The sequence below is a fragment of the Homo sapiens genome, chromosome 17, assembly GCF_000001405.40.
Source record: "Homo sapiens chromosome 17, GRCh38.p14 Primary Assembly".
NCBI lineage: Eukaryota > Metazoa > Chordata > Mammalia > Primates > Hominidae > Homo > Homo sapiens.
In genome coordinates this window covers 81964894-81984103 of record NC_000017.11, presented here as the reverse complement: position 1 = coordinate 81984103, position 19210 = coordinate 81964894, and the positions used below count along the sequence as shown (strand labels likewise).

Genomic DNA, 19210 nt, shown 5'->3' with positions numbered 1-19210 from the left:
CGAGGCGGGTAGATCATGAGGTCAGCAGTTCCAGACCAGCAGGCCAACATGGTGAAACCCTGCCTCTACTAAAATACAAAAATTAGCCGGGTGTGGTGGCGGGCACCTGTAGTCCTAGCTACTCGGGAGGCTGAGGCAGAATGGTGTGAACCCGGGAGGCGGAGCTTGAAGTGAGCCGAGACTGCGCCACTGAGCTCCAGCCTGGGCGACAGAGCGAGACTCCAGCTCAAAAAAAAAAAAACATGAGATGCTCATTTTCAGTTGCCAGTTATCAAAAAACAGGAAGCTGTTTGGGCCCAACCCAGGGAAGGCAGAACTGGTGCTAAGACTCATGTCCCTCCTTCCCCAGCACCCCCCACTGTCCCGTCCCCCGTCCCTGGCCAGCTGAACGATCCTGTGCCCCACACAGTCAGCCTCCCCCAGAGCACGACCCACCATGTTCTCAGGCCCCTCACGGCTCCGGGAAGCGGGCACCATCTCCAGCTTGGCATTGTTGGGCAGGTTGGCAAATCTCCACTGGAGAGAAAGGTCGAGCACGCTCCTCTGAAACCTGCAAGACAGACCAGAGCACACTTGCTGCCCTGCAGAGCCTGACACGCCCTGCCATCCACGCCCCGCCATCCCCGTCCCACCATCCACGCCCCGCCATCCACGCCCCGCCATCCACGTCCTGTGGCAGCTCCCCAACAGCGGGACGTCATGACCTGCAGAGGCACAAGGCGGGTCCCCGATCATATGGGGCCTCCTGCAAGCAGAAGGGAGCAGGAAAAAGGGAGATGTGGGCCTCGGTGCACGCCGAGGGGGCTGCTCCTTCAGAGTCTGGGGTGCTGACAGCCCCAGTGCAGACGCTCGGAAAACACAGAGAGAACGACTGGGGCGTGAACACTGCTGCACTCGCGGAAGCTGGAGTGTCACAGACCCCGGCCGTCACGGCTGGAGCCACCACAGAAAACCTGACTGCCCGGGCGCAGTGGCTCACGCCTGTAATCCCAGCACTTTCGGAGGCCGAGGCAGGCGGATCACCTGAGGTTCAGGAGTTTGAGACAAGCCTGACCAACATGGTGAAACCCCGTCTCTACTGAAAATACAAAAATATCCCATCTCTACTAAAAATACAAAAAAATAAGCTGGGCATGGTGGCTCAGGCCTGTAGTCCCAGCTACTCGGGAGGCTGAGGCAGGAGAATCGCTTGAACCCGGGAGGCAGAGGCTGCAGTGAGGCAAGATCATGCCACTGCACTCCTGCCTGGGCAACAAGAGCAAAACTCTGTGAAAGAAAAAAGGAAAGGAAAGGAAAGAAAAGAAAAGAAAAGAGAAAGGAAGAAAAAGAAAAAGAGAAGAAGAAAGAAAGAAAGAAAGAGAAAACAAGAAAGAAAAAGAAAGAAAAGAAAAGAAAAATCTGAATATACTCAAAGTGGTTGGCCTCACTTTGGAAATGCAAGCTGCTGTCGGAGACAACTAGTGAAGAGAGTTCAGACAGCCCAGGGGCATCTGGAAGAATTAAGAGAGAACAAACTTTGCTATATCAACACTGGCCAGAAAAGTGAGTCTGGAAATTGCCACATGAAATGTCTACGTCAAGACAGGATAGCAGATCGGGGGATCCCGAGGGCAGGCAGGCTGGGAACCTTGGAGCGGAGGGCACTGTTCACGCCTGGGGCTGCATTCCTCTGCACCGGCTGCACTTTGTAAGCAAGTGGTACCATTAGCAGAGGAAAAGGGCACCTGAAAACATGGCTATGGTATTGCAGGACCTGCCTCAAAATCGCACTCACTGGTTCCCACCAGACACCACCACACAGACCACGGGCAGGTGAACACTGAGAAGTAACAATGCGCTGGGCGCGGTGGCTCATGCCTGTAATCCCAGCAATTTGGGAGGCCCAGACGGGCAGATCACTTGAGGTCAGGAGTTTGAGAGCAGTCTGGCCAATGTGGTGAAACTCCGTCTCTACTAAAAATACAAAAATTAGCCAGGCATGGTGGCACAGGCCTGTAGTCCCAGCTACTCGGGAGGCTGAAGTGGGAGGAGTGCTTCAACCCGGGAGGCGGAGGTTGCAGTGTGCCAAGATCGCGCCATTGCACTCCAGCCTGGGCGACAGAGCGAGACTCCGTCTCAAAAAAAAGAAAGAAAAATGAGGCCAGGTGCAGTGGCTCACGCCTATCATCCCAGCACTTTGGGAGGCCAAGACGGGCGGATCACTTGAGGTCAGGAGTTTGAGACCAGCCTGGTCCACATGGTGAAACCCCGTCACTACTAAAAATACAAAAATTAGCCAGGCGTGGCACGTGCCTGTAATTCCAGCTACTCAAGACGCTGAGGCACAATAATCGCTTGAACCCGGGAGGCAGAGGTTGCGGTGAGCTGAGATCATGCCACTGCCCTCCAGCCTAGGTGACAGAGCAAGACTCTGTTTCAGAAAAATGGCCAGGCACAGTGACTCATGCCTGTAATCCCAACACTTTGGAAGACCAAGGCGGGCAGATCACCTGAGGTCAGGACTTGAAGACCAGCATGACCAACATGGTGAAACCCCGTCCCTACTAAAAATACAAAAATTAGCTGGGCATGATGGCGCACGCCTGTAATCCCAGCTACTCGGGAGGCTGAGGCAGAAGAATCACTTGAACCTGGGAGACAGAGGTTGCAGTGAGCCGAGATAGCGCCACTGTACTACAGCCTGTGTGACAGAGCGAGACTCCACCTCAAAAAATAATAAAATAAAAAAGAAATAAAAATGAAACCCTAAGCCCCCCCCAACCAACTGAACCAGCCTCCTCTTGGCCCAGGGGACCCCAGAAACCTTGAAAGCTGAGTTCCTGGCCATGGCTGGGTGGGAGATCAGACACATCTGCAGGCTCTCTTCCCTAAGGGATAAACAGAAAGCAGCCCTTTCCAAAGACCCCTGGGCTGGTATCTGACATCAGCCAACCTCCCGCCAGGCCCTTCTCTCTTGCGGTTTCTTCAAAACAACCCACAGGTATTTCCTGATAAGAAACCACCAACCATGGAGTGGTTCTGGCACAGTCAGGGTTTTCGTGGCACAGTCTTCATGTCCTCTGATTTGCCATTTATTTATTTATTTACTTATTTACTTTTTTTGTAGAGACAGGGTCTCACTATGTTCCCCAGGCTGATCTCGAATTCCTGGGCTCAGGCAATCCTCCGCCTCGGGCACCCAAAGTGCTAGGATTACAGGCATGAGCCACTTCACCCAGCCTGCTTCACCTCTGACTTCAGAGGCCAAAAATTCCACCCTCAGGTCATGCTGGCACTGCCATTTTTTGCACATAGGACCCGTGAAGAGGCAGGAAGCTCAACTGTGTGCACAGTTCTCCTTTCATGAATACTCATGATCCTCCTACAGCGTATTAAGTACGTCTGTATCAGCCACCCCATTCGGTGTAAATCCCTGTCTTATTCTTCCCTCTCTTGAAGTGTCTGTTTCCAGCTTCTGGCTGGAGGCTACACTTCCCAGCCTGTTAGAATGGCCACCCTGCAAGCTGCAACCGGTTATGAGAAATAAAGCCCTCCTTTCCAAACATATGAACCGCATTCTTCAGTTGACAAGAGAGACTGGAGAAGGATGGTGTGAAGGTCTGGGGCAGAAAGCCCAAGACCACCTGGCATTCAGAGCACAGGTCCTGGGATTCTCACGTGGTCCAGACACAAGGTAGAAGACTGGAATGACTTGGCAGGTATCACCCCTAAGAAACTCCTCCCAGGAGAGCCTCGTAAGGCAGGGTGGGCAATGCCAGGAGGGCAAGCTCCTGCCCTCTGCCCCCAGTGTTAGGACAACAGTACTGTAAAAACAGGTCTTCAAGGGCAGGCATGGTGACTCATCTCTGTAATCCCAGTACTTTGGGAGGCCAAGGCAGGCGGATCACAAGGTCAGGAGTTCTAGACCGTCCTGGCCAATGTGGTGAAACCCCATCTCTACTAAAAATATAAAAATTAGCTGGGTGTGTTGGTGAGCACCTCTAATCTCAGCTACTCGGGAGGCTGAGGCAGGAGAATCACTTGAACCTAGGAGGTGGAGGTTGCAGTGAGCCAAGACCGTGCCACTGCACTCCAGCCTGGGCGACAAGAGTGAAACCCTGTCTCAAAAACAAAACAAAACAAAAAAAACACCAGAAAACAGGACTTTAAAGTGAAAAGCTTCGCGTGTGGGATAGACACGCACATCCTATCCATATGAGGGCTCTGACCCTTCTGCTGTCTCAGACTCCTTGAGAGTCTGGCAGAAGCCCTCTCTTGGGAACAATATCCCCACACAGAAGCGTACGTGTAATTCCAGGGGCTGTGAGACTGCAGGGATCCACCTGCAGTTTTCAAGGCATCCTATTTCTCCACGGCCAGCTCTTTCCCCTCAGAGCCCCACTGGGAACTTATGCAACTCAATGCAATAAAACCTACAGGGGGTTGAATGGTGGCCCCCCCAAAAAAGATGGGTCAATGTCCTCACCCCCAGGACCTCTGAACATCTTACTAGGGATCCTGGTCTTTGAAGATGTAATGATAAATCGTTCTAGATTATCCAAGTGGACCCTAAATCCAATGACAAGGGTCTTCCTGAGACACAGAGAAAACAGGAAAAGGCCACAAGAAATCGGAGGCAGAGAGCAATGCGGCCACAAGCCACAGAACGCTTGGAGCCATGAGAAGCTGGAAGAGGCAGGAGGGATTCTCCCTTAGGGCATTTGGAGAGAGTGTGGCCCTGCCAAGGCCTTGGGTCTCCAGAGTTGGGAGGGAATATATGACTGTTTAAAACCACCTGGGGGCTTTTCCAAGTGAGAGCCAGTATGTTCAGGGGGCAGGGGCACAGATATACTCAGACCCTGCTGCTGAGCTGGAGCAAACTCACTTCAGATCATATTCACAGGGGTTGAAGTCCTGCCGCCGGCACGTGTCCTCCAGAACCTGGGGGTGAGATGAAAGGATGGTGAACTGCTGAGTGTGCAGGGCTGGCGGGCGCAGTGGGCCAGGTCAGCCAAGGGCATTCAGCTTCCTGGTGAGCCAGGTGGCTCTGCCCAGGCAAAGCCAAGCACAAGACCACACTATGGACGGTCCCCGCAACAAATGCAGGCTCTCACCTGCAAATCCTGTCCACTCTCCCTCCCTTCTTCACCATCCCCTCAGTTTTGTAGGAAAGCTCCACTCAGAGTTCCCCTGCAGTACAGCAACACGGGCATCTTCCTGGCACACACCCTGGGCTCTCCTTCAAACCCTGTAGTTCTGCAACCTGCCTTAAACTTGCCTAGCACAAGCTACCCCCTGGCTCTGGCACGGTTCTGTGCACCTGCTGCCACTGCCTGCACCGCCTCCGCCCCTCTTCTCCATAAAAAGCCAAAGCCGTGGCCTTGCACCAAGGGGTCCCGCGCAGCCTCTGCGGGAGCGCCCCACTTCCGCACTCTGCACGCCTGGCACCAACAGCCTCCTGGCTGCGCCCTCCACCTGCCCAGGCCTGGGGACCCCACGCCGTGGGCTGCTCCCGCAAACTCCGAGTCGTGTGCACCTTCGGATCCTCACGGTCCCCCACGCAGCAGAGGCTCAATAAATACTTTTTTTTTTTTTTTTTGATATGGAGTCTCGCTCTGTCTCCCAGGCTGGAGTGCAGTAGCGCGATCTCGGCTCACTGCAAGCTCTGCCTCCCAGGTTCACGCCATTCTCCTGCCTCAGCCTCCCGAGTAGCTGGGACTACAGGCGCCCGCCACCACGCCCGGCTAAATTTTTTTGTATTTTTTTAGTACAGACGGGGTTTCACCGTTTTAGCCAGGATGGTCTTGATCTCTTGACCTCGTGATCCACCCGCCTCGGCATCCCACAGTGCTGGGATTTACAGGCGTGAGCCACCGCGCCCAGCCAATACTTTTACATTTAATTGATTCGCGGTCACAAGGTGCCCAAGTAAAAGTGCAGTGAGTGACTCGGCAAAAATCGCTTCCAGGCCCCACGGCCGGGACATCTGCCACCGCGCAACCCGGGCTCCCGCTCCGGGGGACGCCCCGGAATGGGAACGCGGGTCTAGGGCTCCACTCCTCCCTCTTCCCGGCGCCCTCGCGAGCTGGGCTCGGCCGGGCGCCGAGTACTCGATGCGGGTGACACGCGGCGCCGTTCTACCTCACCCCTGGGAAGGCTCGCCACCGCCCCGCCCCCACTCGGGACCCCCGGGACCCCCGGGACCCCAGCGGAAGCGCAGGTGACGGCGAGCAGGGGGCGGGGCCGCCGCTCAGGAGGCCGCTCATTGGCCGCCGAGGCCCCGCCCCCGAACACCGGGACGCCGACCGCAATGGGCGGGGCCTCGGCGCAGCGCCCCCCGCCCGCCTACCCGTCCGCCCCGGGCGGGCGGCCGCACCTGAAGCAGCACGGTGCTCGGCGTCACCTTCACCGTGTGGCGCCGGCCGTTCGGGGCCAGCACCGACACCGCGGAGCCTCCGCCGCCTGCCGGGGCCGCCATTTTCCGCTCACGTGACCCGCCGCCGGGCCGGCGTCAAACAACTTTATCGGCAACAGCCAGGACGCGCAGCCACGCGGCCAGGGGGCGGGGCCGCAGCGCACTTCCGGGTCCTGCCAGGCCCCGCCCTTTCCCCACCCACGGCGCCCCGGCCCCGCCCTTGGGCCGCCAAAGCCCGCGCCAGACCCGGAAAGCGCGGTCGTCCTCTGCCTCCGGGAAGCGCGGCTTGGATGGGCTCGCCGGGGCCAGGCTGGGCCGGGGCTGGGCGCGCGGTCACCCCCGGTGAGCGGCACTGAGCCCCGGGGTCCCAGCGGTCCGCGCTCGCCCACCCTCGCTTCGTCCCTGACACGTCCCCAGCTCGGTGCCCTGCTCTCCCCCGACCCTCCCGGCTTCCTCCACTCCAGCAGCTGAGCCTCTTCCCTGCCCACCTGTCCCTGTGGTCAGCGTCCACCTCCTGACCTTATGGTTTGGGGCAGTCCCCCCGCCCCTGTACGGATCCTCCCTGGGTGTTGGGACTCGTGGCCCTCAGTCTAGACCTGATTTCTTTCATCCTAAAATGGGAGTGCAGAATCTGGCAGCCCTAGGGCTGCCGCGACGGTCCCTAAACCTGAGGGTAGGAAAGGCGGGAGACCGGTTTCAGAACCGTGGGGTGAGCGAACTTGAGTCTCACCGGAGCTCCTGCCGACCCACAGGCACTCAAGGACTTCCCGCACCAACCCATGCTGAGGAGGGGCTTGGTGGCAGCCTCAGGAAACACTCCCATCGCCAGCCACCGCAGCAGGGAAAGCACCTGGCCTCACCAGCTCCAGGCTTCCAGAAGGAGCTGCCCTCCTGACTCGCAGCCGTCGAATGTGCTTAGCTCCCAGCACCTGGGCCACTCATGGACAGCACTCGCACGTGTTCCGCCCCGCCCCCCACCTCCATGGCTCAGCCGGGCCTTGGCACTCCTCTCTCCATGTGCCTGCCTGTCTCTGCGGACTCCTGGCTAGGGCTCAGCTGCCCAGTAGCCTGTGGAAGGGGGAACTGGTGCAGTTATCAGTCAATCCTCCCACAGGGCTGGGATTACACACGTGAGCCACCGCACCCGGCAGTCATTGCTGAGTCTAAGGACATCTCTGCATGGGTGCTGTTGTGCCTTCCTGTCGATGACATATCCATGTCACCCACACACACCTGTATGCTGACAAACACGGACATCTATGTACATTGGAGAAACCTGGGGAAAGCCCCAGGCTAGCCATAGCCCTCCCATCCAGCCAGCCAGTCCCATGCTCTGTGCAACCTCAGAACCTTACTGAGCCACACATCACCTGGTGGGTTTTAATTCTTTAGTGGCGTTTTTGAAGAGTCTGTTCCTATTTTCCTTAGACTGTCCCACAGTCTGGATCCTTGGTTAAACGTTTGGGGCAATGATGAAGGGAGGTGACAAGTCAGCAGGAGGTGCAGGACATCAGCGTGGCCATGAGTGAGGACGTGAAGTTGAACCACTTGGTCAGCTTTGGGTCTGCTGAATTCCTCCATGGTCAAGGTCCGTGGCTCCTTGTGGAGTAATTAAGGCATGCGTGAGGTCATTCTCTGAGACCACAAGCATCAAGTTTTCCCAATAACCATTTGCCCAACAGTTTTAGCATCAGTTAATGAGTAGATTCAGTGTTAAACCGTAAAGCTGCAAAATCATGGCTTCCCAAGTTTATTGTTTCTTCTACATTTATAGTCACTTTCGGTCAAGCTTCCCCTTCTTTAAAAAGTTATTAAATATTTGGGAGGCTGAGGCAGGAGAATGGCGTGAATCCGGGAGGCAGAGCTCGCAGTGAGCTGAGATCACGCCACTGTACTCCAGCCTGGGAGACGGAGCAAGACTCTGTCTCAAAAAAAAAAAAAAAAAAAAAATTAAATATGGCCAGGCGCGGTGGCTCACGCCTGTAATCCCAGCACTTTGGGAGGCTGAGTTGGGCAGATCACAAGGTCAAGAGATTGAGACCATCTTGGCCAACATGGTGAAATCCTGTCTCTACTTAAAAAAAAAGTACAAAAATTAGCCGGGCATGGCGGTGCGTGCCTGTAATCCCAGCTATTCGGGACACTGAGGTAGGAGAATCACTTGAACCTGGGAGATGGAGGTTGCAACGAGCCAAGATCGCACCATTGCACTCCAGCCTGGGCGACAAGAGTGAAACCCCATCTTGAAATATATATATTTATTAATATGAATTCATGTATTTTTTTCATTCAGTCAGCATTCTTTTTGATGCTCAAATTGGTCCGAATTTGGCCAGTGAGACCTCCTTTAAGCTGGCTCCTATGCTTTTTTTGATAGGAGGGATGATCTTTTATCCTGATATTATTTCAAACTTAGCCGAGCAAGGTGGCTCACACCTGTAGTCTTAGCTACTCCGGTGGCCGAGGCAGGAGAATTACTTAAGTTCCAGCCTTAGTGAACCACTATTCATGCCTATGAATAACTACTGCACCCCAGCCCGAGCAACGTAGTACGATACCGTCTCAAAAAAGGAGAAGGAGAAGAAAGAAGAAGAGGGAGGAGGAAGGAAGAAAGAGAAGAAAAGTTTGCAAAAGCAAGAATTCCTGCTGTATATCTTTTTTTTTTTTTTTTTTTTTTGGAGATGGAGTCTCCCTCTGTCGCCAGGCTGGAGTGCAGTGGCGAAATCTCAGCTCACTGCAACCTCTGCCTCCCGGGTTCAAGCGATTCTTCTGCCTCAGCCTCCCGAGTAGCTGGGACTACAGGTGTGCAGCACCACACCCAGCTAGTTGTTGTTTTGTTTTGTTTTGTTTTTTGAGACGGAGTCTCGCTCTGTTGCCCAGGCTGGAGTGCAGTGGTGCAATCTCGGCTCACTGCAAGCTCCGCCTCCCGGGTTCACATCATTCTCCTGCCTCAGCCTCCCGAGTAGCTGGGACTACAGGCACCTGCCACCATGCCCGGCTAATTTTTTGTATTTTTAGTAGACATGGGGTTTCACCATGTTAGCCAGGATGGTCTCAATCTCCTGACCTCGTGATCCACCCGCCTCAGCCTCCCAAAGTGCTGGGATTACAGGTGTGAGCCACCACGCCCAGCCTCCTGTATATCTTTTAGCCAGATAAATCAGTGTTTACATGTCACCCCATTTGTTTTATCATATTCTCTTTCTCTCTCTCCATATACATGTAAAAACTTTTTCTGGCCAGGCACAGTGGCTTACACCTATAATCCCAGCACTTTGGGAGGCCAAAGTAGGAGGATCATTTGAGCCTAGGAGTTTGAGACCACCCTAGGCAACATAGTGAGACCCCAGCTCTACAAAAAATACAAAGGTTAGCTAGGCATGGTGGCATGTCCCTGTAGTCCCAGCGATTTGAGAGATTGAGGCAGGAGGATCACTTGAGCCCAGGAGGTCGAGGCTGCAGTAAAGACATTGAGCACCTTCGCCACTAAATACTTCAGTTTTTCTCTTTCCTAAGAATAAGGCCAGTCTCAACCAGGTGCAGTGGCTCACGCCTGTAATCCCAGCATTTTGGGAGACCAAGGCGGGTGGATCACCTGAGGTCAGGAGTTCAAAACCAGCCTGGCCAACATGGTGAAACCCTATCTCTACAAAAAATACAAAAAGTAGCTGGGCGTGATGGCAGGTGCCTGTAATTCCAGCTACTTGGGAGGCTGAGGTGGGAGAATTGCTTGATTGTGGGAGGTGGAGGTTACAGTGAGCCAAGATCACGCCATTGCACTCCAGCCTTGGCGACAGAGTGAGACTCAGTCTCAAAAAAATAAATAAATAAAATAAGGCCAGTCTCTTATATAGCCACCATAATTTCATACAAAATTGGGAAATCTAATGTTGGTATCATACTCTGAGTTAATCCACAGTTAATTGTCCAAGTGTGGACATCTTTCCTGCATCCTTTTGGCATTTCCATTATTCTTTGGGCATCTCCTCTCTGCCCAAGCCCTGAAGTCAGCCATTTTTCAGAGAAACCCCAATCCCTTTTACAAGGAAATGGGATTTAGAGACCAAGTTCTGGGTGCTGAGTGTGCTCATGGCTACTGGGATGTCACTGCTTTCTGGGCCCTCTCAGGGGACACAATTAGTGTGATGAATTCATCTGAATATTTCTAAGCCACACCTCAGCCTTCTCCCCCTTCTTCCCTCATTCCATATTTGTATTTGGTTGAATTCTATTAAATTGCCCTAGTTAACCTTTTTTTATCTTCTTTTTTTTTTTTTTTGAGACGGAGTCTCACTCTGTCACCCAGGCTGGAGTGCAGTGGCGCAATCTTGGCTCACTGCAAGCTCCACCTCCCAGGTTCACGCCATTCTCCTGCCTCGGCCTCCCGAGTAGCTGGGACTACAGGCACCGGCCACCACACCCGGCTAATTTTTTGTATTTTTAGTAGAGACAGGGTTTCACCATGTTAGCCAGAATGGTCTCAATCTCCTGACCTTGTGATCCGCCTGCCTCGGCCTCCCAAAGTGCTGGGATTACAGGTGTGAGCCACCGCACCCAGGCTTTTTTTTTTTTTTTTTTTTTTTTTTTTGAGACAGAGTCTCGCTCTATTGCCCAGGCTGGAATACAGTGGCACGATCTCGGCTCAGTGCAACCCCCATCTCCCGGGTTCAAGCGATTCTCCTTCCTCAGCCTCCTGAATAGCTTGGATTACAGGCGCTTGCCACCATGAGCAGCTAATCTTTGTATTTCTAGTAGCGATGGGGTTTCACTGTGGTGGCCAGGCTGGTCTTGAACTCCAGACCTCAGGTGATCCTCCCACCTCGGCCTCTCAAAGTACTGGGATTATAGATAGGCATGAGCCACTGCGCCCAGCCGATCATTTTTGATCTACAAAAAAATGACAAAACCTACATGGTTCAACCTAATACCTCCTTTGTCCGCAGTGAGAACCCTAATTGTCAGTAAATCAGTATATTTATTCATTTGCTTTGTTCTAAAATGCCCTCCAAATAGTTTCAGAGGTACTGCGGCAATCTTGCTATTAACAACAGATCTACTGTGGAAATTTCAAGATGTCTTTGTAGCTATTTTTGTCCTTTAGAGTATGTCCCATTAAAGAAACATAGAGTATTGTGTTCAAAAGTTATTTGAATTAATTTGCTTTTCTGTGTTAGGTTAGGTTAGTGTATTATAGGGTCCTCCAGAGAAACAGAACCAATAGGATATGCACAGATATATACAAGAGACCAGCCTGGCCAACATGGGGAAACCTCATCTCTACTGAAAACACAAAAAATAGCCGGGTGTGGTGCTGCACACCTATAGTCGCAGCTACTCGGGAGGCTGAGGCAGGAGAATCACTTGAACCCGGGAGGTGGAGGTTGCAGTGAGCCGAGATCACACCACTGTACTCCAGCCTGAGTGACAGAGTGAGACTCCATCTCAAAAAAAAAAGAGGAAATGTATTATGGGAATTGGCTCAAATGATTATAGAGGCTGAGAAAGAAGTCCCATGGTCGGTTGTCTGCAAGCTTGAGACAGGAAAACCAGTGTATTATAAACCAGTGTATAACTGAATACTCAAACCAGTGTATAACTCAATACCCAAAACCAGTGTATAACTCAATACATTGGTTTATAATATAATTACAATATAATTTAATTCAATCCAAGTCTGCAGGTCTGAGAACCAGGGGAGCGAGAGGTGTAACTCCCATCCTGAAGCCCCAGAAGTGTAGGATGGGCGGCTGGTGTAAGTCCTGGAGTCCAAAAGCCTGAGAAGCAGGTTGCCCTTCTCCAATGTCCAAGGGCAGGAGGATGGACGTCCCAGCTCAAGAAGAGAGAATGTGTCCTTCTTCCACCTTTTTGTTCTATTTGGGCCCTCAACTGATTGGATGATTCCTGCCCGCTGTGGTGAGGGTGGATCTTCTTGGGCCACTGATCCAAATGCTAATTTCTTCCAGAAACATCCTTGAAGACATACCCAGCCATGAGGTTTTACCAACTCTCTGGGTATCCCTTAGCCTGGTCAAGTTGACACATACAATTAACCATTATAGGTAGGTTAGGTCCGTTTAACAATTTGATGCACGGTTAGGTTACATTTATTTATTTTGTTTTTTACTAAATTTGGGGTTTTTTCTTCATCCTTTTTTATAGTGCTATATTTTCATTGTTCAAAAGGTTTATTTGATTCAGGTGCGGTACGGTGACTCACGCCTGTAATCCCAGCACTTTGGAAGGCCAAAACGGGTGGATCACCTGAGTTCAGGAGTTCAAGACCAGCCTGGCCAACATGATGAAACACCACCTCTACTAAAAATACAAAAATCAGCCGGGCGTGGTGGTGTGTGCCTGTCATCTCAGCTACTCTGGAGGCTGAGGCAGGAGAATCTCTTGAACCCGTGAGGTGGAGGTTGCAGTGAGCCGAGATGGTGCCGCTGCACTCACACTCCAGCCTGGGTGACAGAGCAAGACTCCGTCTCAGAAAAAAAAAAAAAAAATCTACATATGTGCCCACCTGGCACCTGACACAGGAATTTGCTCATCTTTGCAAAAAGAAAAACAAGCAGGCTACCCTAGAAGTTAACGAAAATGGTTTTCTTGGCCGGGCACAGTGGTTCACACCTGTAATCCCAGCACTTTGGGAGGCCAAGATGGGCAGATCACAAGGTCAGGAGTTTGAGACCATCCGGACCAACATGGTGAAACCCCGTATACTAAAAATACAAAAATTGGCCCGGCGTGGTGGTGCACACCTGTAATCCCAGTTACTGAGGAGGCTGACACAGGAGAATTGCTTGAACCCAGGAGGCGGAGGTTGCAGTGAGCCAAGATAGCACCACTGCACTCCAGCCTGGGCAACAGAGCGAGACTCTGTCTCAAAAAAAAAAAAAAATTGGCCGGGCGCAGTGGCTCATGCCTGTAATCCCAGCACTTTGGGAGGCTGAGGTGGGTGGATCACAAGGTCAGGAGATCGCAACCATCCTGGCTAACATGGTGAAAGCCCGTCTCTACTAAAAAAAAAATACAAAAAAATTAGCTGGGTGTGGTGGCGGGTGCCTGTAGTCCCAGCTACTCAGGAGGCTGACGCAGGAGAATGGTGTGAACCCAGGAGGCAGAGCCTGCAGTGAGCGGAGATCGAGCCACTGCAATCCAGCCTGGGCAACTGAGTGAGACTCTGTCTCAAAAAAAAAAAAAAAAAATTAGCCAGGCGTGGTGGCGTGTGCCTGTAGTCCAAGCTACTCAGGAGGCTGAGGCCGGAGTTTGAGGCTGCAGTGAGCTGTGGTCACAACACTGCACTCCAGGCTGGGCAACAGAGCGAGACTCCATCTCTAAAAAGAGAAAAAAAAGAAAATGGTTTTCTATGAGGATGAGTGGGAGAAGAAACAGGTCAGGCCATGTCTTTATACTTTGGAATCAAATATATATATATATATATGTATATATATATATGTATATATATGTATATATATATGTATATATATGTATATATGTGTATATATATGTATATATGTGTATATGTATGTATATATGTATATATATGTATATATGTATATATATGTATATATATGTATATGTATGTATATATGTATATATATATTTTGACTGAGTCTCACTCTGTTGCCCAGGCTGGAGTGCAGTGGCGTGATCGCGGCTCACCACAACCTCCACCTCCCGGGTTCAAGTGATCCGCCGACCTCAGCCTCCCAAAGTGCTGGAATTACCGGCGTGAGCCACTGCGCCCAGCCAGATGTAGATTCTTAACCTATCTTCCTCCTTATACAACAGGTGACCACAGGATATCACAGTCTCTTTTGCTGTTATCACTGCAGCCCACCCACGTTTTCAAAGATTTACGCATGACCCCACTCTGCGGCCACCTATGACTCCACTCTTCTCCACCATGCACTAAGTCAAAAGCACAAAGTGCTCACTGCTGGACATTGCATGGGAGGCCACAGTGTCCAGGCGTGGAATGGTCCAGGCACCAGGTCCAGCCCCCTACCTGCACCGAACTGAACTTTGACCTGGTCTGTGCTGGCCTCCAACATAGAGCCTCGCCTGCCCAGGCCTCAGATCCTCACCTGTAGCACCCTCCAGGCAGGTGAGTGGACCCTGACTTGGCACAGGAAGGCCAAGAGGTCATTGCAGGCAGTGAGTCCCCGGTGGGCTGCAGGAAGCCTGAGCCAGGCCAGAAGATGAGTTTGGGTTCCTCCCCGAAGGCTGCACAAAGTCAATCCCAGGGCTGGCCCAGGCCCTTGCCAGGCCCACTGAATGCCCAGCACAGGGGCTGTCTTCTGCCTGGCTTTCCTGTCTTCCCTTCCCCTGTCACCCTGTCAGGGAGCTCCTTGAACAGCTACTTTTCAGCATCTGCTTCCTCCAGAAGACAAGCCCTGCAAAGGTGCACCTGCCATCCCGGCCCCATGTCCCCGTGCCTGGGACAGGGCTCAGGCAAATGAATGGGAGGTGGTCAGGGAACCTTCCTGTGGCTCATGGAGCTGCCTCACTTCCAGCCTCAGTCAGTGGCCTCTAGGCAGGACAGACACCTGGGCAGGTTCACAATCCCACCTCAGGGCCAGGCAGGGTGACATGCGGCTGTAATCCCAGCATCTAGGGTGGCTAAGGGGGAGGATCACATGAGCCCAAGAGGTCAAGACCAGCCTGGGCAACATAGTGAGACCCCATCTCTACAAAAAAAATTAAAAAGTAACCGAGTGTGGTGGTGCAAGCCTGTAGTCCAAGGTACTCAGGAGGCTGAGGCAGGAGGATCACTTGAGCCCGGGAGTTCAGGGCTACGGTGAGCCGTGATCACACCACTGCAGTCCAGCCTGGCAACACAGAGTGAGACCTTGTCTCTAAAAATAATAATCATAAAAGAATCGCAGCTCATACATAAATGTGCGAGAGGGCTCACACTATTTATTTCATTAAACGAATCTAGTTTCTACCTTGCTGCCGTCTGGCCACTTGGGACCTTGTCAGCCTCAGTTCTAAGGGCGGCATAGTGCTGGTTCTTCTTCTCCGTCCCCACCCCTCTCCGGTTTAACTAGTTTTTTTTTGTTGTTTTTTTTTTTTGAGGCAGAGTCTCACTCTCTCACCCAGGCTGGAGTGCAGTGGCGTGATCTCAGCTCACTCTAACCTCCATCTCCTGGGTTAAAGGAATTCTCGTGCCTCAACATCCCAAGTAGCTGGGATTACAGGCACGCGCCACCACCATGCCTGGCTGATTTTTTTTTTTTTTTTCATCCCATGAGTTTTCTTTCTGTAATGATTTTTGTGTTTTTAGCAGACAGGGTTTCACCATGTTGGCCAGGCTGGTCTCGAACTTCCGACCTCACGTGTTTTCCCTGCTTTGGCCTCCCAAAGTGCTGGGATTACAGGCTTGAGCCACCGCACCCAGCCTGGTTGAACTAGTTCTAAGGAGCAACTGCAGCCAGGTCTGGAGAGGGCTCGGCTGCCACCTTCCCTCCCAGACAGCAGCTAGACAGCTGCTCCCAGGATCTGCTTTGAATTAAAAGTGGCGTGGCCCTTTAAGAGAAGCATCCGCCGGCCGCCCCCGCCGCCGCCGCCCCTCTTTGATGTCGCTGGCGCTGAAAGGTTCCCAGTGGCAAGATCTGAGGGTTTGTTTCTGCCTCCCCAGAGGCCACGTGGGGATCACAGGGAGGGAGGGAGGGCGAGCGAAGGTCACATGGCCTCCCTGGCCTGCTGCCGCTGTTGCGGCAGGAGCAGGAGCGTGGGGACCAGCAGGCTGGACGGGTGGGGGCCGCGGCCTGCAGCTCGTGAGGGCGGTGGAGCCTGGCAGCTGGGAGGGCAAAGGACCAGCCTCTCTGCCCCTCCCCTTGGCACCCGGGAGCCTGACCTCCAGCCTCCCTCACCTGTCCAGGAAGGAGCCACACACTGTCTGCGTGATGTCCCAAGAGGCGGCATCTCCACTGATGAGCTGGGACTCCCCCATCCCCATGCCCTTCCTCCCCCAGCTTTGGAGGGTGGCCTTTCCCTGGTGGCCCTGCCACTCCATGGTTAGCCCAGTAGGCTGCATGTTGGCACCAGCCGGGTGAAGCCGTAGGGAGGAGGCGGGATGGGGCGGAGCTCAGCTGCAGGGGTGCCAAGAGGGGCAGATCCCGCCAAATACCTGGGTCCAAAAATGACAGCCTCGGCCTCCCCGCTGGGCTCTAGGAGCTCTCACCTGGGTGAAGGACATCCTAGGGCAAGGCCGATCCTTTCCACCAGGGAATCCAGAGGCCACTCACTCCCAGGCACTGGGGCCAGGGAGAGGGCAGCCCCAACACCAAGCCCAGGAGCAGCCGCCCCGCCCAGGGGCCCCCCTCGCCCCTCCAAGGACCTGGGCGAGAGCCACAGCAGCTCCTGACAAGGGACTTGGCTCATCAAGGTCCCAGGATATGAGGCCAAGAAGGGTCCTTCTGATGGATGGGGTGACCAGAAAAGGAGGTTGGGGGAAACCAAAAAGGGGCCATGCTCTGCGACGGCACCGCCTGGCCTCGGCACCTCCCCCACTCTGAGCCGGTTGGAGAGCAGGGCCTCCCCCAAGAGCCAGCCAAGGGGGAAGCGGCGGCCTCCCCCAACAGCCAGCCACATGGGGAAGCGGGTGGCCCGCCTCACTTCCCTGCTCACTTGGGCCTCAGAGGCCAGCAGCTGGGGCGCAGGGCAGCCCAGGTGGCCAGGCGGGGCGGGGCGGCCGAGGCCAGCACACAACAGCTGGGCCCCAGACGGCTGGCAGCAGCTGGAGCCCAGAGCGGCCCTGGCGCTCAAGGCCCTGGGGGGAGGGGCCCGGGATGTGCGGCAGGGAGCCGCCTCCAGTATGGACAAGGAAGCCGGGTCTGGGGCTGCCTGACATGCTGTGTGCTGGACGCTCATATCACCAAGTTCCAGGGCCCCACGCGAGGTCTCGAGGGGACCCCTGTACCGCCAGCTGCCCTCCATCACACCTTCCTCCCTCTCCGACTGCGCCTGCCCGCCAGCTTGGGCCCTTGCTTCCTGAAATGTGCTGTCTTGACCCCTTTTTCCCAGGGGGGGGGCTCCGGCCCCCCAGCACAGCCGTGACCCCGGCGGATTGACTCAGAACCACCTGTGCATCCCCAGCTCCCTCCCCAGGGGAAGGCGGTGAACAGAACCCTCACCCCGTCCTGTCTCGGGGTGCCTCTCCTGAAGCACAGAGTCCCCTCTGGGCCTTCGTTTCCCCAGCTTTCCTGCCGCGGGGCACACAGAGTCTAGGCTCAGTCAGAAGCCCCGGCGCCACCTGAATGGGAGCCTGGGGAACCCTGTATGGTCCTCCCTGAACAGGACAGTGGGGATGGGGCAGGGCCAGGGAAGCAGAGAAGGGCACACCCTGTGAGGGACACCACACGCAACCATGCAGCCTGGGATGGGCACTGTGGTGCTCTCGTCGCCAGGCCCCCATGTCTGCCCTCGCAGTCAACCTTGGTCCCTGGGGGATCGCCTGCAATCCCACGACGCCTGGGCAGCATAACTGTCATTTATCACATGGTCATCGCCGGAGACGCCGAGCGGAGCCCCCAAACATCCTGCACCTTTGATGTTCACGCGGACTCTGTGAGGCAGGTGCTGTTCTCATCCCGTTTTACAGACGAGGAACCTGAGACGCAACTGCAGGCCCCGCAGCAGCCGGTACTTGGCTGTCCTAACCCATCCGCTCTGGTGCAGACAAAGTGGATATCTGTCTAACATGCAAAAGGAGGGTTCTGAAACACCCTACCTGCCAGGAAGGTTTCTAGAGAGGAGCCGGCCCACTCCACCCCAAGCTGGCCACTCCGCTCACGGGGCCTCAGGCCTCATCCCCGCCACCTGGTGCCCTGTGCCCAGCCTGATCGTTGTTGGTCTTACCCACTGATTCTTTTAGATGGAAGCGGGATCTTGCTGTGCTGCCCAGGCTGGTCTCGAACCCCTGGGCTCAAGCAATCCTTCTTCCAGGACTTCCCAAAGTGCTGGGATTACAGGCGTGAGCCACCGTGCCCAGTCAGAACTAACTACTTTAAAATATCAGGGTGGGTGCCATGGCTCATGCCTGTAATCCCAGCACTTTGGGAGGCCAAGGCAGGTGGATCACCTGAGGTCAGGAGTTCGAGATCAGCCTAACATGGTGAAACCCCGTCTCTACTTAATACAAAAAAAAAAAAAAATTAGCTGAGCCTGGTGGCGCATGTCTGTAATTCCAGTTACTCAGGAGTCTGAGGCAGGAGAATCGCTTGAACCCGGGAGGGAGAGGTTGCAGTGAGCTGAGATCGAGCCATTGCACTCCAGTCTGGGCAACAAGAGTAAAACTCCATCTCAAAAAAAAAAAAAAAAAAATCTAATCACATGACAGAGTACATTCAGAAAATTGTGCAACCATTACCACAATCCATTTTAGAACATTTTAATCACCCCAAAAAGAAACCCCGTACCAGCTGGGCACAGTGGCTCACGCCTATAATCCCAGCACTTTGGGAGGCCGAGGTGGGTGGATCACCTGAGGTCAGAGACCAGCTGATCAACATGGTGAAACCCCATGTCTACTAAAAATACAAAAATTAGCTGGGCATGGTGGTGCACACCTGTAATCCCAGCTATGTAGGAGAATTGTTGGAGCCTTAGAGTCGGAAGTTGCAGCGAGCCGAGATCACATCACTGCATTCCAGCCTGGGTGACAGAGCAAGATTCTGTCTTACAAAAAAACAAAAGAAAAAAAGAAATCCTGTACCCATTAGTAATCACTCCCTGTTTCTCTCCATCTCCTGGAAACCACCAGCGGACTTTCTATCTCTATGAAGTTGCCTCTTCTGGACACTCGAAATG

General features: G+C 53.8%; 1 protein-coding gene and 2 long non-coding RNA genes across 7 annotated transcripts in view, besides 9 other annotated features; 1 reads left to right on the top strand and 2 right to left on the bottom strand.

The window, feature by feature from the left end:
• ASPSCR1 (ASPSCR1 tether for SLC2A4, UBX domain containing) overlaps positions 1–6475 on the bottom strand; it is a 39778-nt gene extending 33303 nt beyond the window's left edge. For 3 of the 5 annotated variants that reach the window (XR_001752618.3, NM_001251888.2, NM_024083.4), the window contains exons 1-3: positions 6356–6475; positions 4865–4920; positions 436–550 (exon numbers count right to left, since the gene is read on the bottom strand). Coding sequence is in view for 3 of the 5 variants with exons in the window: in NM_001251888.2 (NP_001238817.1) it covers positions 436–550; positions 4865–4920; positions 6356–6457 (273 nt within the window). In the remaining 2 variants the exon portion in view is untranslated. The remainder of the gene's footprint in view (positions 1–435; positions 551–4864; positions 4921–6355) is intronic. The other 2 variants (NR_045351.2, NM_001330528.2) reach the window with 1 other exon arrangement.
• Positions 5980–6839: a silencer, noted in NCBI's record as "silent region_9178". NCBI's record gives its function as "represses an Ori minimal core promoter by ATAC-STARR-seq in GM12878 lymphoblastoid cells {active_cell/tissue: GM12878}" and the evidence as "EXISTENCE:reporter gene assay evidence [ECO:0000049][PMID:35858748]".
• Positions 5980–7089: a biological region, named in NCBI's record as "H3K27ac-H3K4me1 hESC enhancer GRCh37_chr17:79934891-79935662".
• Positions 6318–7089: an enhancer, noted in NCBI's record as "H3K27ac-H3K4me1 hESC enhancer chr17:79934891-79935662 (GRCh37/hg19 assembly coordinates)". NCBI's record gives its function as "activates a minimal SCP1, AML or CMV promoter by ChIP-STARR-seq in naive and primed H9 embryonic stem cells {active_cell/tissue: H9 hESC(naive and primed)}" and the evidence as "EXISTENCE:reporter gene assay evidence [ECO:0000049][PMID:30033119]".
• On the top strand, positions 6619–8136 carry LOC105371939 (uncharacterized). Its single transcript, XR_933953.4, has 2 exons — positions 6619–6736; positions 7147–8136. It is a non-coding gene; the product is annotated as an uncharacterized LOC105371939 (long non-coding RNA).
• Positions 7090–7863: an enhancer, noted in NCBI's record as "H3K4me1 hESC enhancer chr17:79934117-79934890 (GRCh37/hg19 assembly coordinates)". NCBI's record gives its function as "activates a minimal SCP1, AML or CMV promoter by ChIP-STARR-seq in naive H9 embryonic stem cells {active_cell/tissue: H9 hESC(naive)}" and the evidence as "EXISTENCE:reporter gene assay evidence [ECO:0000049][PMID:30033119]".
• On the bottom strand, positions 7769–16671 carry LOC124904087 (uncharacterized). The gene is made up of 2 exons (XR_007065951.1): positions 16584–16671; positions 7769–7993 (listed from the first exon to the last, which is right to left on the bottom strand). It is a non-coding gene; the product is annotated as an uncharacterized LOC124904087 (long non-coding RNA).
• Positions 16101–16150: a silencer, noted in NCBI's record as "silent region_9177". NCBI's record gives its function as "represses an Ori minimal core promoter by ATAC-STARR-seq in GM12878 lymphoblastoid cells {active_cell/tissue: GM12878}" and the evidence as "EXISTENCE:reporter gene assay evidence [ECO:0000049][PMID:35858748]".
• Positions 16161–16320: a silencer, noted in NCBI's record as "silent region_9176". NCBI's record gives its function as "represses an Ori minimal core promoter by ATAC-STARR-seq in GM12878 lymphoblastoid cells {active_cell/tissue: GM12878}" and the evidence as "EXISTENCE:reporter gene assay evidence [ECO:0000049][PMID:35858748]".
• Positions 16161–16817: a biological region, named in NCBI's record as "H3K27ac-H3K4me1 hESC enhancer GRCh37_chr17:79925163-79925740".
• Positions 16240–16817: an enhancer, noted in NCBI's record as "H3K27ac-H3K4me1 hESC enhancer chr17:79925163-79925740 (GRCh37/hg19 assembly coordinates)". NCBI's record gives its function as "activates a minimal SCP1, AML or CMV promoter by ChIP-STARR-seq in primed H9 embryonic stem cells {active_cell/tissue: H9 hESC(primed)}" and the evidence as "EXISTENCE:reporter gene assay evidence [ECO:0000049][PMID:30033119]".
• Positions 16981–17220: a silencer, noted in NCBI's record as "silent region_9175". NCBI's record gives its function as "represses an Ori minimal core promoter by ATAC-STARR-seq in GM12878 lymphoblastoid cells {active_cell/tissue: GM12878}" and the evidence as "EXISTENCE:reporter gene assay evidence [ECO:0000049][PMID:35858748]".